The following is an 18,000-nucleotide window of genomic DNA, read 5'->3' as shown; positions in this document are numbered from 1 at the left end:
CCAAAGACACTAAATGCTTCTAACTGATTATTTTAAAACTTACGATTTTCCAGATATTTTGGACTATATGGGGCTGTTTGGAGTTGCCTATGTTGTTGTCGTTTTTGTTGTTGTTGTTGTTGTTCTTCTTCTTCCTCTTCCTCTTTCTCTTCCTCTTCTCTTTCTCTCCTCCTTCTCCTGTTTTTGGAGATTGAAAACTTTTGAGTTTTCTAGTTGCTACTTCATTCTCTGCATTTTGTTAAGATTGAGGAGGAGGGAAAATTAATACATTTTTGAAACTTCAGTAGCAAAAATTTAGTACATCATGACCAGCTAGAATGGATGGATGAAACAGCAGTGGAAAGTATAGCTGCCTTTGAGAGGCAGACAATAAGGCATTGGAAATCAAAAGGAACCAGGGTAAACTGGAGAGAGCATGTCCAATCTATAGGGGACAGCTAATGCTCATCTCCAGCTGGTTGTAGTCAGCTAGTTACTTGAGCACAGGGCTACCAGATCATTTGAGAGAAGCATAAAATCAGATTTTTTACATGATATGTCTCAATGTTTTAAAATATTGTGCAAGCAAAGAGGAATATATCTGATGACCAGATTCAGTCCACGGGCCACCAGTTTGCCACCTCCAGAGAAACAAATTTCCATAATACATTCCAGTAATTATCAGTTGCTCCTATAAGGAACTTACTCCTTTTAGATGCTATAAAACCAGTATGTGTTAACTCTTACTCTGTTTTCTTTCTGTTTTGTCCTTAAGAAGAACAATGGCTGTGATCTGTTTCCCGTATAAAAATACAATGCATTAAAAAACTTGAGCAATCCCACTGAGAACCTATTAATCTCCCAGTGAAACAGCAGCAAAATATAATATTTCTTACATACAATTTGCTTAGGACTTTCACAAAGGAGATTTGATGGGACCTTATTTATGATAGGAGGAGAGGGCCATATCTTCTCTCAATGGGGTGTCTTTAAAGCACTGAAAGAACTCCTGGTGGAACTGAAAGCATTTATATGCTTAAATTTGCTTAATTAGACCTAATACGGAATGCTTAGTCAAAACATATTGTCAAGGCGTGAACAACCTCAAAGACTGTTTCTAATAATAGCAATTGCTATGTATGTCTATACTGATATAAACAGAAGTATTCAGAAAATGAACTTTGATTTTTGTAAACTGATGGGACTCCTAACCTGATGTCCCCTTGCATCAAATATTTTATCTATACAATATATAATACTGGCCTTTCTGTTAAAAGATATTATTTATCTGAATCTGATATTATTTATCAGAATCATTAGTCCTATTCAGCCTTTTCCCCTGTAACAGCTATTTAAAGTTTCTTATATACAATCAAATAAAAATGATTATTATTTCAAGGTATCATGGCAAGCTTTAATATGCACTCTGTTAAACAAGAGTGCCTTAAATTCGTATCTGAATCTAAAATGCCCCATTTGTAGTACTCTTTTTATTTTACCTTTTTAAAAGAATAATGTAAATTTTAAAGTATCTTTTTAGCTGTTGGGAGAAGTTGTTAAGTCACTATGGAAAGGTGAATATTTTCTTTACTCATATTTGTGTTTGAAGAAGCTAGTACAATGTTTAGCACTCTGTAGTGACCCAGTGAGCTGCTGAATGAGTCATGAAACCCTTGGCAAGGTTCTTGTGAAGGCCTAGTTGAACACAAGATTGGTGTAGAAAGCCCAGTAGAGGCTGCCTTTCCAAACAGGGAGCATCCTTCATCTTAGTTGACCTTTTCAATTCCAGAAAAAGCAGAAGAGGTGTGAGGTTTAGTTAAGATTAAGTGTGGAGAATGTCTACATTCAAGGATTCTATATTTTATAATTCTCGTGGGAGTTTTTTTTTAAAGAACATATTCAAACCCACTCACACATTTGTATTAAAAGTTATGTTAATTGCCAAGCAAATAATATTTCAAATTTAGAAATCCTACTCATTCCTAATTATAGCTGCCAGAATGGCAGGACTTTGTGAACTAGCAAGCAAACATGGAAAGGCCTTCTCAGTACAACAGTAAGTGGAACATTTTTAGAGATATGCGATTAATTATTTAACATGAGGGAACACTGCAACTTGTACTGTGTCTATGTACAATTAAACAGAGTTTTTTTCTAGTTGAAAGCTAATTGTTCTCTTTTAAGTACCTATGGATGCAAATCACTTGATTTTCTGAGTGAGATGTCAAACTAACTTACGTAGTCAGTGTCTACTTGTGAATACACTGCAAATATGGCTATGGAAATAAATGGAATGGACCATTTATAGTCTTCTTTATAACACCTCAAAGGCATCTATTATGTAAGCAAGCACAGTGGATTCACGATTTTGTCCTCTACTACAAAGGCTTCTTATAAAATAGCCTATGGCCAGGCACAGTGGTTTATACCTGTAATCTTATCACTTTGGGAGTTCAAGGCAGGCAAATCACTGAGCTCAGAAGTTTGAGACCAGGCTGAGCAACATGATGAACGCTGTCTCTACAAAAAATACAAAAATTAGCTGGGCATGGTGGCATGCACCTTAGTCCCAGCTATTTGGGAGGCTGAGCTAGGGGATCATGTGAGCCCTGGGAGGTCAAAGCTATAGTGAACAGTGATAGTGCCACTGTACTCCAGCCTGGGTGACAGAGTGAGAACTTGTCTCAAAAAAAACAAAAACAAACAACAGCAACAACAACAAAAAGCCTACACATGATATGTTGCTCATTCTGTAATGATTTCTGTCAGTTTATAGTAGAACATAGGGAACCAGGACAATGATTTATAGCAAGCTATTAAAGTCGTTGCAATGTGCCATTAAAGTATTTTCTTAAAATTTTGACCTAGAAAAAAAAAGGTGTAGACACAGAAGCATGTTACTTTGTGAATAATATAATGGGCATTGGAAGAAAATTTCTGGGTTCAATTTTTCCTTCCACCACCTGTTTTTCCACTACCTATTACCTGAGTGAGTTTAGTCCATTGACTAACTTGTTGGAGCTGCAGTCTCTTCAGTTTGAATATGGGCCTAATGATAATTACTATACTGGTAGAATGGTTGTGAAAAGCTGATCAAACAATGCACATAAAATGCTTAGATGGGGCCAAGCATGAACCACTCGACTGCTGTTAGCTATTATTGTTACAAAATTAAACCAGAAATTGGGAGTATTTTCTGCATTCCCAAAAAATATTTAACCATCATTTGAGAACCAATTGTTTCTATCAGCCTCGGTTTATAAATATTCACGATAAATATCATAAAATACAACTGTTGTATAATGAAAGGCTAACATGGAAACGCTTATTTTTTTCTGAAGAAACTTACATTATGGAACATCATATCACTTCTGCCTATTAATCCCTTATTTATATCTTTGTCCTTGTTTGAAATCCCTCATTGATACAACTAACACTGTAGCTATCTAAAAATTTAGCTCTCTTGCTAACTCCCTTCTTTAGCTTATGCTAACTTGGCTTAGTACAAGAAAACAAATAGGCCTTTATAAGCAGAAAATTAGATGTCACAAAATCTATATCCTAAATTTTCCCACTTTAATTTAGAGGTATTTTTTAGGCCTTCACTCAAAGTTTATTTGTCCATATTTTACACGTAGTTCTTTAAGAAAAAGTCATTATCTGGATTCATATAAATGATATTTTTGCAGTAAATTAGAAATGGGAAGAATGACCATATGTCTATCATCAAGAATATAGCTAATGGCTTAATGACAACAAAGGAGACAGAAAAATTATAAAAGGCAAAAGTGATGTAAAAGAATAAATTCGTGGATGATGGGGATTACTTGTATTGAGAAAGACCTTTTGTACCTCAATAGATTCCAACAACATACAAAGTTATAAAAATATGGAATAATAATTAATATTTATAAGTAGCCTGAATTGTCAAGAAATATTCAATCTGATAAGATTACTTTATTTAAGAAGTTAAGGAAGTATGTAATGCACCAAAATTATCAAATCGGTGGCCGTGGGAAGATTCTGGCTGGTTAATATATCTGCTTAGGTCACTTTATTAGAACAATGCATTACTCACTAGTATTTAAAAATCAGTAACTTTCACCTATAAATTGGAATTTCTGGATTTCTTGGAACAATTAGAAGATATGGTAATAATGAACCCATATTCTCACTTTTCAACATTCAAATATATAAGAACTCTCATACATTATTATTTGGAATAAACATGTCATCATTTTGGAAAACTGCTTGACTGTGTTTCATAAAGTTAAATATACATCTAAAGCATGACCCAGAAATTCCACTCCTAATTTAACCAAGAGAAATAGATGTACATATCCACAAAAATACTCATTGCAACTTTAATCATAGTAGCCTCAAACTGAAAGCAACCTAGACATTGATTAACAGAAGAATGGTTTAACAAACTGTTATAGCCATACAGAGAATACTACCTAACAGTATTGCTTATTGTCTTATAAAACAATTTTACTTTTGAAACAAAAATTATTGATACAACATTGATAGATCTTAAAAATATTATAATGGGACAAAAGAGTCCAGGCAAAAAAAGTACATGATTTCTTTATAAATAAAGTTTAAGAACAAAAAAATTGATTTTATGATACTAGAAATCAGAATAGCAGTTGTTGGGGTAGGGGAGGAGGCAGGGGAATTGACTGGGAAGTAAAATTTGTGGGCAAATGGGAATATTCTTTATTTCGATCCAAGTGATAGTTATATACATTTGTAAATATTAATCAAGCTATACACTTAAGAGTTCTATATTTTGCTGTAAGCATCTTATGTTTCAGTAACTACTTTTAGCATAAAAACAAACAAAACGCACAAACAAATAATTGAGACTGAGTAGCCGTCGTCTTTAGCTTGCATGGCTCTTGCAGGTATTAACTTCATAACTATTAAAGAAAATTTTATAGCTTAAAGGAGTACATTTTAGCTATATAGAGAACTCAGCTGTTCATAACTAATTTCTTGAGAGTTGTAGAGAGCTGCAATTTTTGGCTGCTTTTTTTTCTTGCAGGTTTTGCTCAATGTCATTTTCTGAACTTGCTTTATGTAGGGTATTTCTGTTGCATATCTGTCTTTATACAACAAGTGACTAACTGTTAGCACTCATAACATTTCAAACATTTCTTTTCTTTTCTTTTTCTTTTTTTTTTTTTGAGACGGAGTCTGGCTCTGTCGCCCAGGCTAGAGTGTAGTGGCACAATCTCGGCTCACTGCAAGCTCCGCCTCCCGGGTTCGCGCCATTCTCCCGCCTCAGGCTCCCGAGTAGCTGGGACTACAGGCGCCTGCCACTACGCCCGGCTAATTTTTTGTATTTTTTTTTTTAGTAGAGACGGGGTTTCACCGTGTTAGCTAGGATGGTCTCGATCTCCTGACTTCGTGATCCGCCCGCCTCGGACTCCCAAAATGCCAGGATTACAGGCGTGAGCCACTGCGCCCGGCCCATTTCAAACATTTCAAATAAATAGAAGCACTGCTTTACACTGCAGGTAACAAACTTATGGTAAAAGAACTCATTACCCAAATACTTACACACATTCGAAATAATAATAAAAAGTAGCTACATACTGGCAAATATAATTATGTATTTCAAATCTTAGATTTTATATCATAGCTCCATAACAATTTTCTAAAAGAAGCTATGAGTAAATTCAAGTTAATAACAAGGAGGTCAACCAGTTCTCTTTCATAACACATTCTTTATTAATTCTATCGGGAACTAAATTCTGAGCTGAAGGGTAATCCTTTTCAAGCATGGGTTTTCATATTAAATCAATTCAGTCCTTACCAGTATAAAGAATTTCTTCATAAAACCATAGCATAAATCTTCAAATTTTTCAGAAATTTAAGAGTAAACACACAAATATAATCCTTTTATCTGTCAAATTCATTTACATCTAGAAGAATATTGCCATTTGGCAATTCATAAAAGATGAATCTATTCAAGGTCAACTGTTGTACTTGATAACAAGCATTAAAAGTAGTTTATGAGCAATGTATGTTATTAATTAATAATGCACACACAAGTGTTGAGATTAAGCAATATTTCTGCAAGTAATTGTGACTCATTCTTTTCTCAGTGATTTATGAGACAGAATTTTTATCTAACAGACATTTCCAGGTATCTAATCAACTGGAAGGTATTGCATTTTCTTCACAAGGTAGAAATGTTTCAAACTTAATTACAATTCATTGACCTACAGTTGTGCTTTCAGGTTTGATTTGCATAGCCATCACCAGTAAGTTGAAGCTGACCACTGATTAGAATAATTATGAGTCTAAAGATATATAAATAGACTGTAAAAGTAGGCTTTTAATTTTCTAGGTTTTGGAAAATGCCTCAAATTTGAAGATGTAAACCTGACTTCACATTGCTATCTGGTCAATGCATATCGTCGTTTATGAATTATGCCTGCACACATCTCCAGCATCCCCTAGTATCCAAGATATTGTAGTATATTCCTAAGTGACAGGCTTTCAGGCTCTTTTTACTCAGCACTGCTCACAGGAAGTAGATTCATGTACCTCAAAGACCATTTTTGCAAGTTGTCCAGCTATTCAGAATGTTTCTAATATAAGAAAGCAGTATAAAGAAAGCAGTGTAAACTCCTTCTAAGAGCATAGGTGGAGACTCCATGTCAGGATCTACCATTATCCAGCCATGCGACCTTATGTCAGCCATTTTTACCTTTTTAAAAACTTTTATTTTAGGTTCAGGGATACATGTGTAGGTTTGCTAGATAGGTAAATTGCATATCGCAGGGATTTGTATACAGATGATTTTGTCACTCAGATAATAAGCATAGTACCTAATAGGTAGTTTCTCAATCCTTTCCCTCCTCCCAATCTCCAGCCTCAAGTAGGCCCAAGTGTATGCTGTTCCCTTCTTTATGTCCATGTATACTCAATGTTTAGCTCCCACTTATAAATGAGAACATGCAGTATTTGGTTTTCTGTTTCTGCATTAGTTTGCTTAGGATAATGTCCACCAGCTCCAATCCATGACTCTGCAAAGGACATGATCTTATTCTTTTTAATGGCTATGTAGTATTCTTTATCCAGTCTAACGCTGATAGGCATTTAGGTTGATTTCATGCCATTGCTGTTGTGAAGAGTGCTGCGATTAATATATGTGTACATGTGTCTTTATGGCAGAACAATTTCTATTTCTTTATGTGTATACCCAATCAGAGATTGCTGGGTCAAATGGCAATTCTTTTTTGAGCTTTGAGAAATCGCCAAACTGCTTTCCACAGTGGTTGAAATATTTACATTCCAGCCAGCAGTGTATAAGAGTTTTATTTTCTCTGCAACCTTACCAGCATCTGTTACTTTTGACTTTTTAATAACAGCCATTCTGACTGATGTGAGATGGTATCTCATTGTAGTTTTGATTTGCATTTCTCTAATGATTAGTGATGTTGAGCATTGTTTCACATGCTTATTGGTCACATGTATGTCTATTTTTGAAAACTGTTGATGTCCTTTGCCCACTTTTTAATGGGGTTGTTTGATTTTTGCCTGTTAATTTGCTTAAGTTCCTTATAGATTCTGGATATTAGACCTTTGTTGGACGTATAGTTTACAAATATTTTCTCCCATTCTGCAGGTTGTCTGTTTACTCTGTTGATAGTTGATTTTGCTGTGCAAGTGCTGTTTAACTTAATTAGGTGCCATTTGTTAATTTTTGTTTTTGTTGTAATTGCTTTTAGTGCCTTTCAGCAGCATGAGGGAGGCGGTGGTACAGGCAGGATGTGGGTGGCCTGGTGCACATCAGTGGACGTTGCTCTGCTGGAGCTCTCCAATGGTCAGGAGTGGTCTTCCGATGAAGGAGCTATAATGAGGGCACCCAGGAAGAGACTTTGTTGAGAATCTGATGCTGCACTGCCAGTGGTTGTGGCCAGGCTGGAGTTCTTGGAAAGGCCAGCAGATAGGAGGGGAGCTCAGATATGACTGGTCTCATCTCATAGGCAAGGCCACCCTGCTCTGTCCAGGTCTGACAGACACCTTGCGGCCAAAGTCTCCTACGGGATCATGGTGAGCCTTGGTGGATAGGTGTTCTGGCTGTGCTCCACTGCAGATGTTCCTGCATCAAACACTCTGGGCTCTGCCCAGGCTGGAGTCCCACACCTACAGCTCTCTAAGCAGTTCTACCTGCCACCTAAAGTGTCCATGCGGATTGTGGGGTTTCCTGCTGCCAGGACTCTAAAGGTCCATGGTGGGAGTGGGACACTCCTCGCCTATTCAACTCACACGTACCAATGAATATAGTAAGTGTTACCTGCTCTACTTACCTCATTGGTTCATCATTCGATGCAATATTCTCCACTTCTGCTACACGTAACGAATACCCGGGAAACACTTAAAACTTACCAATACTTGTACCTGAGATATTGACTGATAGTATGTAAATCTCCACAAGTAATGCTAACGTGCAAATAGATTGAGCGACCATTATCATTGAAGAAATCATAGACGAGCCTTCTGAAGTGGTAAATTCTCTTTAAAATTTTAAGAATTTTTATCAAATCACTTGTGAATTGATAAGCTGCTTTCTTCCACATTTTTTTCTGAGCATATTGCCTCTCTATTCGGTATTTTCCTGGCATAAAATCTGTTCTTTTTGTGTCCCTATATCCATAATGGGTCCAATGCTGTTATAGCACTTCTATGGCGTTATTGTAACACATTATATAGACATTATAAGTGTATTATTATACTATATTTTATACATATATAAAGGATCTGTCTCTGATGATCTCTGAATCATCTCTGTGACTTTTGGCATGTAACTTTGTGTCCTTACCAGTGGTTAGTTTGATGCCTGGCTGTTATTAAAATACGGAACCTGATTGACATGCCCCAGCTCATATTTTATTACTTTATCTTTTTCTTACGTTACCATCATTCTCATCTCTGTTCCTTTCTCCTCCTCTTCACCCACTTATTTCTATCATTTTCTCAAGTGGGACCCAAAACTCTTTTCTTCCTATGACATTGTGTACACGCTTATGTTCCATTTCCCCTAAACATAAAGGGCACATGTAAAACATCAAATTATCATTACACATTGCTTTGTAATTATCTAGTTACTTTACATGCGCAAGTTTTCCTCTTAAAACTGTAAGCACCCTGAGGGAGTCACCATATTTTGGACATATTTTAATATTGAATGCAGTTCCCAGGAGATTAGTGAAGGGCCTCTGTGAAGTCTTCATAAAGGAGACTTTGGGACACATTCTTTGTGGTCTTTTTGATACCTTAGTGTACTTTGAGCTTAAACTGAGAGGTCACCGTGAGTTTTGCCAGTTTTATTTCTCTATTTCACGTGGCAACTGGACTGCCACTGATGATACAGAGACATTTAATCATAATTAGATTGAAGCCAATTTATTTCATAAGGATGATTATGTTTTATGTTTTTCATTTATATATTCTCTACAGGATGATTTTTTTCCCAACTGGATTTGAACTGCAGGAGAAATGTCATGTGCTACAATTCCAACATTTCTTTAAATAAATTCATGGTGATAGGAATGTTCATGATGATTTCTGTTCTTAAAAGATCATGAGCTAGTGTAGGCCATGACTTTCTTTTGCACTAGTATAGAAAACATGAATCTGTGACCAAGAGGTAAGATATTTGAGGGAAATGTGTTGCATGTAGAAGCGATTCTTTCATTATAGTCTCTACACAGGGGAGAAAACTAAGGCAACGACAAGCACTCTTAAGACTTCTCGTTGTTATAATACAAAATTCAAAAAGAAATAGCAAAAGTCAGCCTGTCTCTCTCTATGGGACTCAGAATATGCATAAGTTTTGGTACAATAAAAAATTTCCTGGACTATAAGTATTCAGTGACTTGATGGATGGATCATCTTTCAGGGTCTCTAATTCTCCATCATTAGGGGCTGGGGTTTTCAGAAGTAATGCTGTAGGTTGTATCTAATCAAGAAATGCAAATCGGAATAAGCCAGACTGCATGCACATTGGGATAATAGGAGTTGAAAGGGGTGATAAGTGTGGCACGTTTTTATGGCCTCACCTTGACAGACAGAAATGCCTCAGAACTGTATGAGTTAATTCAGACATGAGATAGGGACAAATCAGATTGGATATTTGACAGCTTCACTGCAGTCGGCTGCAGATATGTATCTTATGCTTTTGTTTTTTCTTTCTCTTGGGATTTTACAAGGAAAACACACTGTAGAGTGGATTGTGATGCAGGAAAACTAACCTTATTAGCTATTGACAGCTGTAGGTTTCTGTCATCCTCAAGAAGGAAAGATATCTGGTAATAAAGAAGCTTATTCATAAATCTGTATAGGATGGGCAGACATTCTCCTAGAATTCTGTACAGATGAGAGTATTTCAACAGGTAGCAGGCAGAGGTTGTCTTTTTTACTTTTTCTTCTAAACATAGTTCCTTTCCCTCAAGGGCTTCAGAATTTTGTGTAATATTAAAAATGTTAATTGAATGCTGTAACTACAAAGATAATGTAATTACTTGACATCATTACAAAGTATTTTTCTTCTCTTTCATGGGTGGTGAATCTGCATCAAGCCGTTTACTTCTGCTCACTAGTTTTCCCAGTAATCAAAAGCAGGTACTTCTGAAATGATTGGTTGGGATTACAGTTAACATCTGGAATGGAAGAGAAGAGTGACTTAGTGACTTACTCATCTGTTTGGCACTTGAGACACACTTCTCTCTTTTAATGCCAAACTTATTGAATGAGTGGGGTCTGTCTGTTGCCTTCATTTTCCGCAATCTAATGATTTCTTTCGCCACCCTAGTGAGATTGCTCATTGAAATCACTTCCACTGACCTCTTCATTTGTCACATACAACAGTCCTTTCTTTGTTCTCATTTTTCTTGATGTTTGGGTACATTTAACACAATTGACCACTTTATCACAAAACTCCTCCCATGGTATTTATGAAATATTATGAACTATGTATTTTTATTTCTTTTATGTTTTCCATTCCGCTTTATTTTTTTCTTTTCCAGAATATCTGATGCGATATTTTCCCACCTTGTCTCTTATCTGTTAACATCACCTTCAAAGATTTTATCCACTCACACCTCCAACCATCATTACTACGAAAACAACTTCCAAAAAACAATGTAAGAAAGAAATAAAGAAGGGAAAAGAGAAGAAGGCAGGAGGGAAATCACAAACCACCCATGGAATTTATCTACTAAATTTTCACCTGAATATTCTATTGCATTTAAAATAAGAATAGAATCTCCTCTGAACTTCGACATTTTCACATTCAATCAGTCTCTAATTCTTACAATTATTTTTCTTTTCTATCTTTCTCAAATTAAAACCTTTCTTCCTAGTCTCACTGTCTCTAGTCTTATACTGAATTTCCTTCCATTGACCTTGCATCTTTACAGTAGCATTCCACAAGAAAACTCTGGTCCCTGTATGCATCCATGTCTTCTGATTATAACTATCTAATTAATATTTCTAAAGTATAAATTATATTACATTATGTCCTTATTCAGAGCCATCAATATCTTCACTTCATATAAGATTCATAAAGACAGGGTCTTTATTCATCTCAGTTACTAGTATATCCTCAGTTATTAGATGACTGTCAGAAAAAGAGTAAGTTTTCAATAAATATTATGGAATAAATAATATAATAAAGGATCCACTCTAAATGTAGGCTGAATTCAATGTTTCCCAGAGTTTAACCCCAGTCTACTAATTTCACCCTATCTTTCTTCACTGCTTTCTGTGAGTCTTTCCTTTTATAGGTTAATTTACATCTTGCTTCCCAAATATATTGTATACATCTTATCAATCACTTCCTTCTGAGAATTCTCAAAATAATGATCTAAGATTTCTGGCTTTTAAATCTTGTTTTGACTTAAAATTCTAAGGGCAAACTGATTTCAAGTTGCGGCTCACTTTTGTTTTTACATTTTCTGAAGGTTTTCACTGTGTCACACACTTTGCTATGTGCCTTCCATGCATTACTCATTTACATTTCACAACCACACCCTGTGACATAGGTATCAATTTCACCTACTTTATAGCTGAGGACATCACAGCTTTGAGAAACGAAGTCATATAGCAGTTAAGCTGCAGAGTTGAGATTTGAGCCTTGGGCTGACCCACTTCAGAGCCTGGATTCTTAATCCCTATGTCCTTCACGCTCATGAGATTCTCCACTGAATTCCTGGCATGTGTGGTCTGTTTGGTAGTATTCATATTTACTTACATTATTGTTTAGTTTGTCATGTATATTAACCTTGTCTCTTAAGTACAGAGAACATATGCTATCATGCATCAATTGATGGGGATACATTCTGAGAAATGTGTCATCAGATGATTTTGTCCTCGTGTGAACATCATAGTGTGTACTTACACAAACCTGCATGGCATAGCTTACTACACACCTAGGTTTATGGTATGGCTTATTGCTCCTAGTTGATGCACCTGTATAGCACATTACTGTACTGAATATTGTAGGCAATTTAAACACAATGCTAAGTATTTAGTATCTAAACACATCTAAACATAGATCCTCAATCATCTAGTGGCTAGGAAAAGAAAATAAACATCGTAAAGGTACAATAAAAATACAGTATAAAGATTAAAAAGTGCTACACCTATATAGGGCATTTAGCATGAATGGAGCTTGCTTGTCTGGAAGTTGCTCTAGATGACGCAATGAGTGAGAGGTGAGTGAACTTAAAGGCCTAGGACATTGCTGTACACTACTGTAGACTTTATAAACACTATATTCTTAGGCTATACTAAGTTTTTTTCAATTTTTTAAAAATTTATTTATAGGCCAGGCGAAGTGACTCACGCCTGTAGTCCCAGCTATTTGGGAGGCCGAGGCGGGTGGATCACGAGGTCAGGAGATCGAGACCATCCTGGTTAACATGGTGAAACCCCGTCTCTACTAAAAATACAAAAAATTAGCCGGGCGTGGTGGTGGGCGCCTGTAGTCCCAGCTACTTGGGAGGCTGAGGCAGGAGAATGGCGTGAACCTGTGAGGCGGAACTTGCAGTGAGCCGAGATCGCACCACTGCACTCCAGCCTGGGAACAAAGCGAGACTCCATCTCAAAAAAAAAAAAAATTTATATACTTTTTAAACTTTTTTATTATAAACTAAGACACAAACACAACCTAGGTCTAAACAGGGTCAAGATCATGAATATCATTGTCTTCCACCTCCACATCCTGTCCTGCTGGAAGTTCCTCAGGGGCAATACATGCATGGAGCTGTCATCTCCTATGATCACAATGCTGTCTTCTGGAACGCTTCAAGAAAGACTTGCCTAAGGCTCTTCTTTCATTACAGAAATATGTCCATCGTGGTCTGCTTGGTTTGTTTCTCCATTTTCATTATAGATTTGCGTGAGTAATGCATTGAGCTGCAATGTTATGATGGTTATCATGTCACTAGGTGATAGGAAATTTTCACCTATATTATAATCTTTGGGGCCACTGTTACCTATGTAGTCTGTTGACCAAAACATCACTATATGGCATATGACTGTATTACCTTTTATCCCTCACCATGTGTAGCATAGATTAGAATAGAGATATAAATAATAATTACTGAAAAATAATTGTCACCTCAAGGGATTTCTTGTGAATCAAAATGTACAGTTTTTGGCTGGGTGAACTAACCACTGAGTAGCTATTACCTATTCAGTGCTTTAGACTAACTTGAACATTAAATTCACTTGGTAAAAGATATTTTCAGAACTGCAGTTGTCATAAAATAAGAACACCTCTTTATTTATGTAAATAATTAAAAATAAATATCAGGCATGCCCCATTCCTACTCATTTAAGTCATTTTAAAGATACATGAAATATAAAAGGAGACTTTGCTAAAGGTCTCTAAGGAGAAAAGGGCAACACCACTAAATAAAGAAGGATGATCATGCTGGGGCAAACTTGAAAGGAGATGGCATTTATACAAAATGCAATTTACTTTGACAGTAATTTTCTGAATTTCCCTGGTTATTATTGAAGATATATGTGTGTTTGAATAAGAATGCTCCCTCTTCCCTCCCTAGCCAGCTGCTCTGTTTGATCCTGCAGTGAAGTCACCATCCTGTGTTAATGGCTTCACAGTTTGTTCCTGGAGAAAAAAAATTATTATGATGTCACGAATTTGTCATTTTGACTTCACTGCAGGGTCAGGCTGGGTGAGAATGTAGGTTGTAAGGGATAAAATCTTTCAGGCAGAAACTTTTCTTCTCCTCATAACAAGAAATAGATAGTGTTAGGACAGGCACTTAAAATCAAATAGATGAAAGGGTACATGACTTTAAAAGTTCACAGGTATCGCTTTAGAAATAATCCATCTGATATTCTCTTACTTTTTAATGATGTAAGGATAACTTTTTTGCTCTACATCCAGGCCAGTCCTTTCTCTTGACTTCTCTGTTACACACCTTAAAGGTCCCAATTTCAAAAAGGAGAGTTTCTTTATTTGGGATTGTACTTTTTTCAACCTCCTAAACTATTTAAGGAATCACAATAATGCAGTACTTCTTTGCATAATTATCGAAGTGCCCCATTGTTGCAGCACTTTTAAATCAATGCACCCAAACTTCAGGTTTAAGATGGCAGTGCTGAGGCATTTTTATTCTTTTTGTTTTCTGAAATCTGTGAAAAATAATGAAAAGAAAGTTAAAAAAAGAAAAATTCCAGCTAAAATGAAACAAAGAAATAGCTGTAATCTCAAACTACAAACTATTTCCCCCAAATGATGTAAAATCTGGACCAAATCAGGGCAGGATGCTGAGAGCCAACACCTGCCTCCTTGAATATGGATGGATATAGAATGTCTAAAAGTAAATATTACAGTCCAGGAAGGCATTTATAATGCTTCTTTGATAAAAAATGATAAGATTCAGGGAGTACAGTGGCTGCAGAAAAGTGCAGATCATCCCTGTAGAACACAAGTTTAATAGCATAGAATGGAAGAGGAAGTGGCAACAAAGTGAAAACCAAACTGATACTCCCTGTTCTATTAACTGCAGCCTACCCTGCTATGCAAGGGTGAGTGCCAAAAGTAAGGCAGGTGTTGAAGCAGCAGCCTAGGGAACATTTAACATAAAATGATTTTCTGTGAGTCTCAGTGACTACTTGAATAGCAAATAGTCCTGCACTCAAGAAAAAGGAAACAAATAGTTTGGTATGAGAGTGTTTGAGATCACAAATTTAGTCCAGACTCTAGAATTCTGTATCTTATAACTCATCCTCCCCAACCCTTTTATGTATTATTTTTCAGCAGATATCTAATCTCACTCAAACTTGAGTAAAACTTAGAAATCAATACATAAACTATGGATGAAAATGAAGGAAATAGACACAAGCATAGGGAAAGTTAAGTAAACACATATCATAAAAATATTTACCATCAAAACTACAAAAAGAATTTAGATACACAACTTTGTTTCTATTTTCAAATAAGTCAAAAATAAATGTACAGGCACAAATATGTGAACATATAATACAATAGAAGAAAGTTAAAAACAAGCTGTTAGTGCTCAGAAAAGAAATGAAAGATAAACATATTGAAAATAAAGCCATACTGTAAATCAATTTAAAATATAGTAAAAGTGACTGAATGCATAGCCAAAGATATGGGGGTTTTAATGGTGTAAACACAAAATCAGGTGACAAATAACAAGGATGTAAAAATAATAATCAACCAGATGAGAGAGAATGCAAAAAAATCTAATTTTAACGTATTTCATATTCCTGGAGAGGAGAACAATAGGGCAAAAAGAAGAAAAACATTCAAATATATTTTAAGAAAATGTTATTGAACAAAATAAAGACTTCTATTTATAGCTCAAAAAGGTATTTTATGTCCTAGGAAAAAAAAAGATGCAGAAATATCAATGCCAAACTTGGTAAAACTATGGAATTTCAATGTCAATGAAAAAATCATTTAAACAAACTGGAATAAAACAGGTTAAAAATCATACTTTTCCCAAACTCCTATAACAGAAATCAATGATAGAAGACAATGGGAAATCACGTTAAAGTTTTAAGAAAAAGATATTGTGGCACAAGATATTATACCCAGCCCACTTGTCCTGTAAGTATAATGACAATAGGTAGACCACCTCATGTATGGAAAAATTCAAGAAATGAAACAACAACGATTTGTTTTTAAAACTACTGGCTGTATATTGCCAGCCAGAAAGTGAATCAAAGTGTACCTGAGAATAGAAAAACAATATCAAAAAAATAAAGAAAGTAAGCCCTGAATTTATTAAGACATAAAATTATGACCAACTAGTGGGACTTACAGATAAAAGATGGAATATACATACTATCAAGTAGACGACAGAAAAAAAAATAGAGAAAAATCACGTAAGGTATAGGAAGGGAGATAATAGAAAGCCCAAGACTAGTTTATTCATTTACCATGATGGGTACAATAGATTTGTGTAAATTTGAAATTTGTAGTTAAAAATATAGGATTACAACTTTTTAAACATTTTAATTAAACCTTTATTCAAATAAGTGAACAATTTTAGGAGCTAATATCTCTTTATTGAAGAAACATTTATGTAAACTCTAGCATTACCCCTCTTAAATTAAAAAATTGAATTTTATATTCATATAAAAACAGCTGTATGATATAATTCCATTCTTCCAAAATCATTATTTAAAGCATTTGTATCTATCTATACCTAGCTGCCTAAGAATCAAGCCTCATTGGTCTTGTTAGATAATAAGTTCTCTAGCATTCAGCTCTAATTTTATACATCCTTATAATCTTCTACCTATGTACAGATATAAAGAGATGGCTGAAATTACTTTTACCTAAAATTATTGATGATCATTTCTGGTTGGGGAGATTTGGAGTCATATTTTACTTTCTATCATAATTTTTTTTTCAAAACCCATTCTGGATAAGACAGCAGGAGAGTGTGTCATCCACATTTCTAAAATATACTAACAAGAAAATCTTTTATTTAACTTGAATAAATAGTTCTTGAGTGGTGGTAATTGCAAATAGAGCACAACCTAACAGTTTCTACATGTTGCTCTGGAAGTCTTCCTTCTCTCTAAAACTCACTCTTTCCTTGGTTTTAACCTTATTGCTCTACCTCCGCATTGGACTACTCTTCTATGTCTTCATTTCTAGACTCAAGATTCAGCTCTAGTTTCTCCTTCTTATAAATAAAATGTCACCAAGGCTTAATGTTGGGTTCCTTTTCCTTCTTTGGTCTCTCTTTAGACAAAACTCATGTAGAACATTGATTCTCACCACTAAGATGATTAATCAATTTCTCCAGCCCTGTCCTCTCTCTTTCTTTTCTTGAATCTTTTCATTATAAGTGTCTGCCATCTCCTCACAAAAGTTGGTTAAGACTAACTTATCATTGTTTCTTTAAAAACGAACCACACACACTCTCTCTCTTTCTGAACAATAACAATGACAAAATATTTCTTCCTTTCAAAATTTGTTTTTATTAGTCTGCCAACTGCCAAATGTTTCACATGGAATTGTATATATTAATACTCTAGTTTTTCATCTCCCACTCACTTCTCATTGGACAATAATTTGGATTTTATTCCTTTTCCTTTTTTCAAATTACTTTCTCCAAGGCAACCAATGCCCATCATGTAACTAAATCCCATGGCAGGTATTTTTTAGCTGCTAAGCAACATTCAGTACTGTTAACCAATTCCCTAGCCAGAAGCAATTCCTTTCTTAACTCTCACACACAAACATCCTTATTATTTCTTTCTTTAACTGATTAATGTCTATCTTCCTTGGAAAATTTTAAGCTCCATTGGACCCCCATGCCCTTGTAGACTATATGGCAAATAATGTGCCCTCAACAGACATTTGTTGAAAGAATAAAATTCTTGGATAAATGAATAAATGGTAGAGCATTCTTTCTGACACCCAGCCTTTAAGCCTTGCCATCTTTGTTTTTCCCTTCAGCCTCATACTGTATAATCAGCCGTTAT

This window comes from Homo sapiens, chromosome 1 (genome assembly GCF_000001405.40).
Source record: "Homo sapiens chromosome 1, GRCh38.p14 Primary Assembly".
Classification (NCBI taxonomy): domain Eukaryota; kingdom Metazoa; phylum Chordata; class Mammalia; order Primates; family Hominidae; genus Homo; species Homo sapiens.
This window is presented reverse-complemented; position numbering follows the sequence as displayed.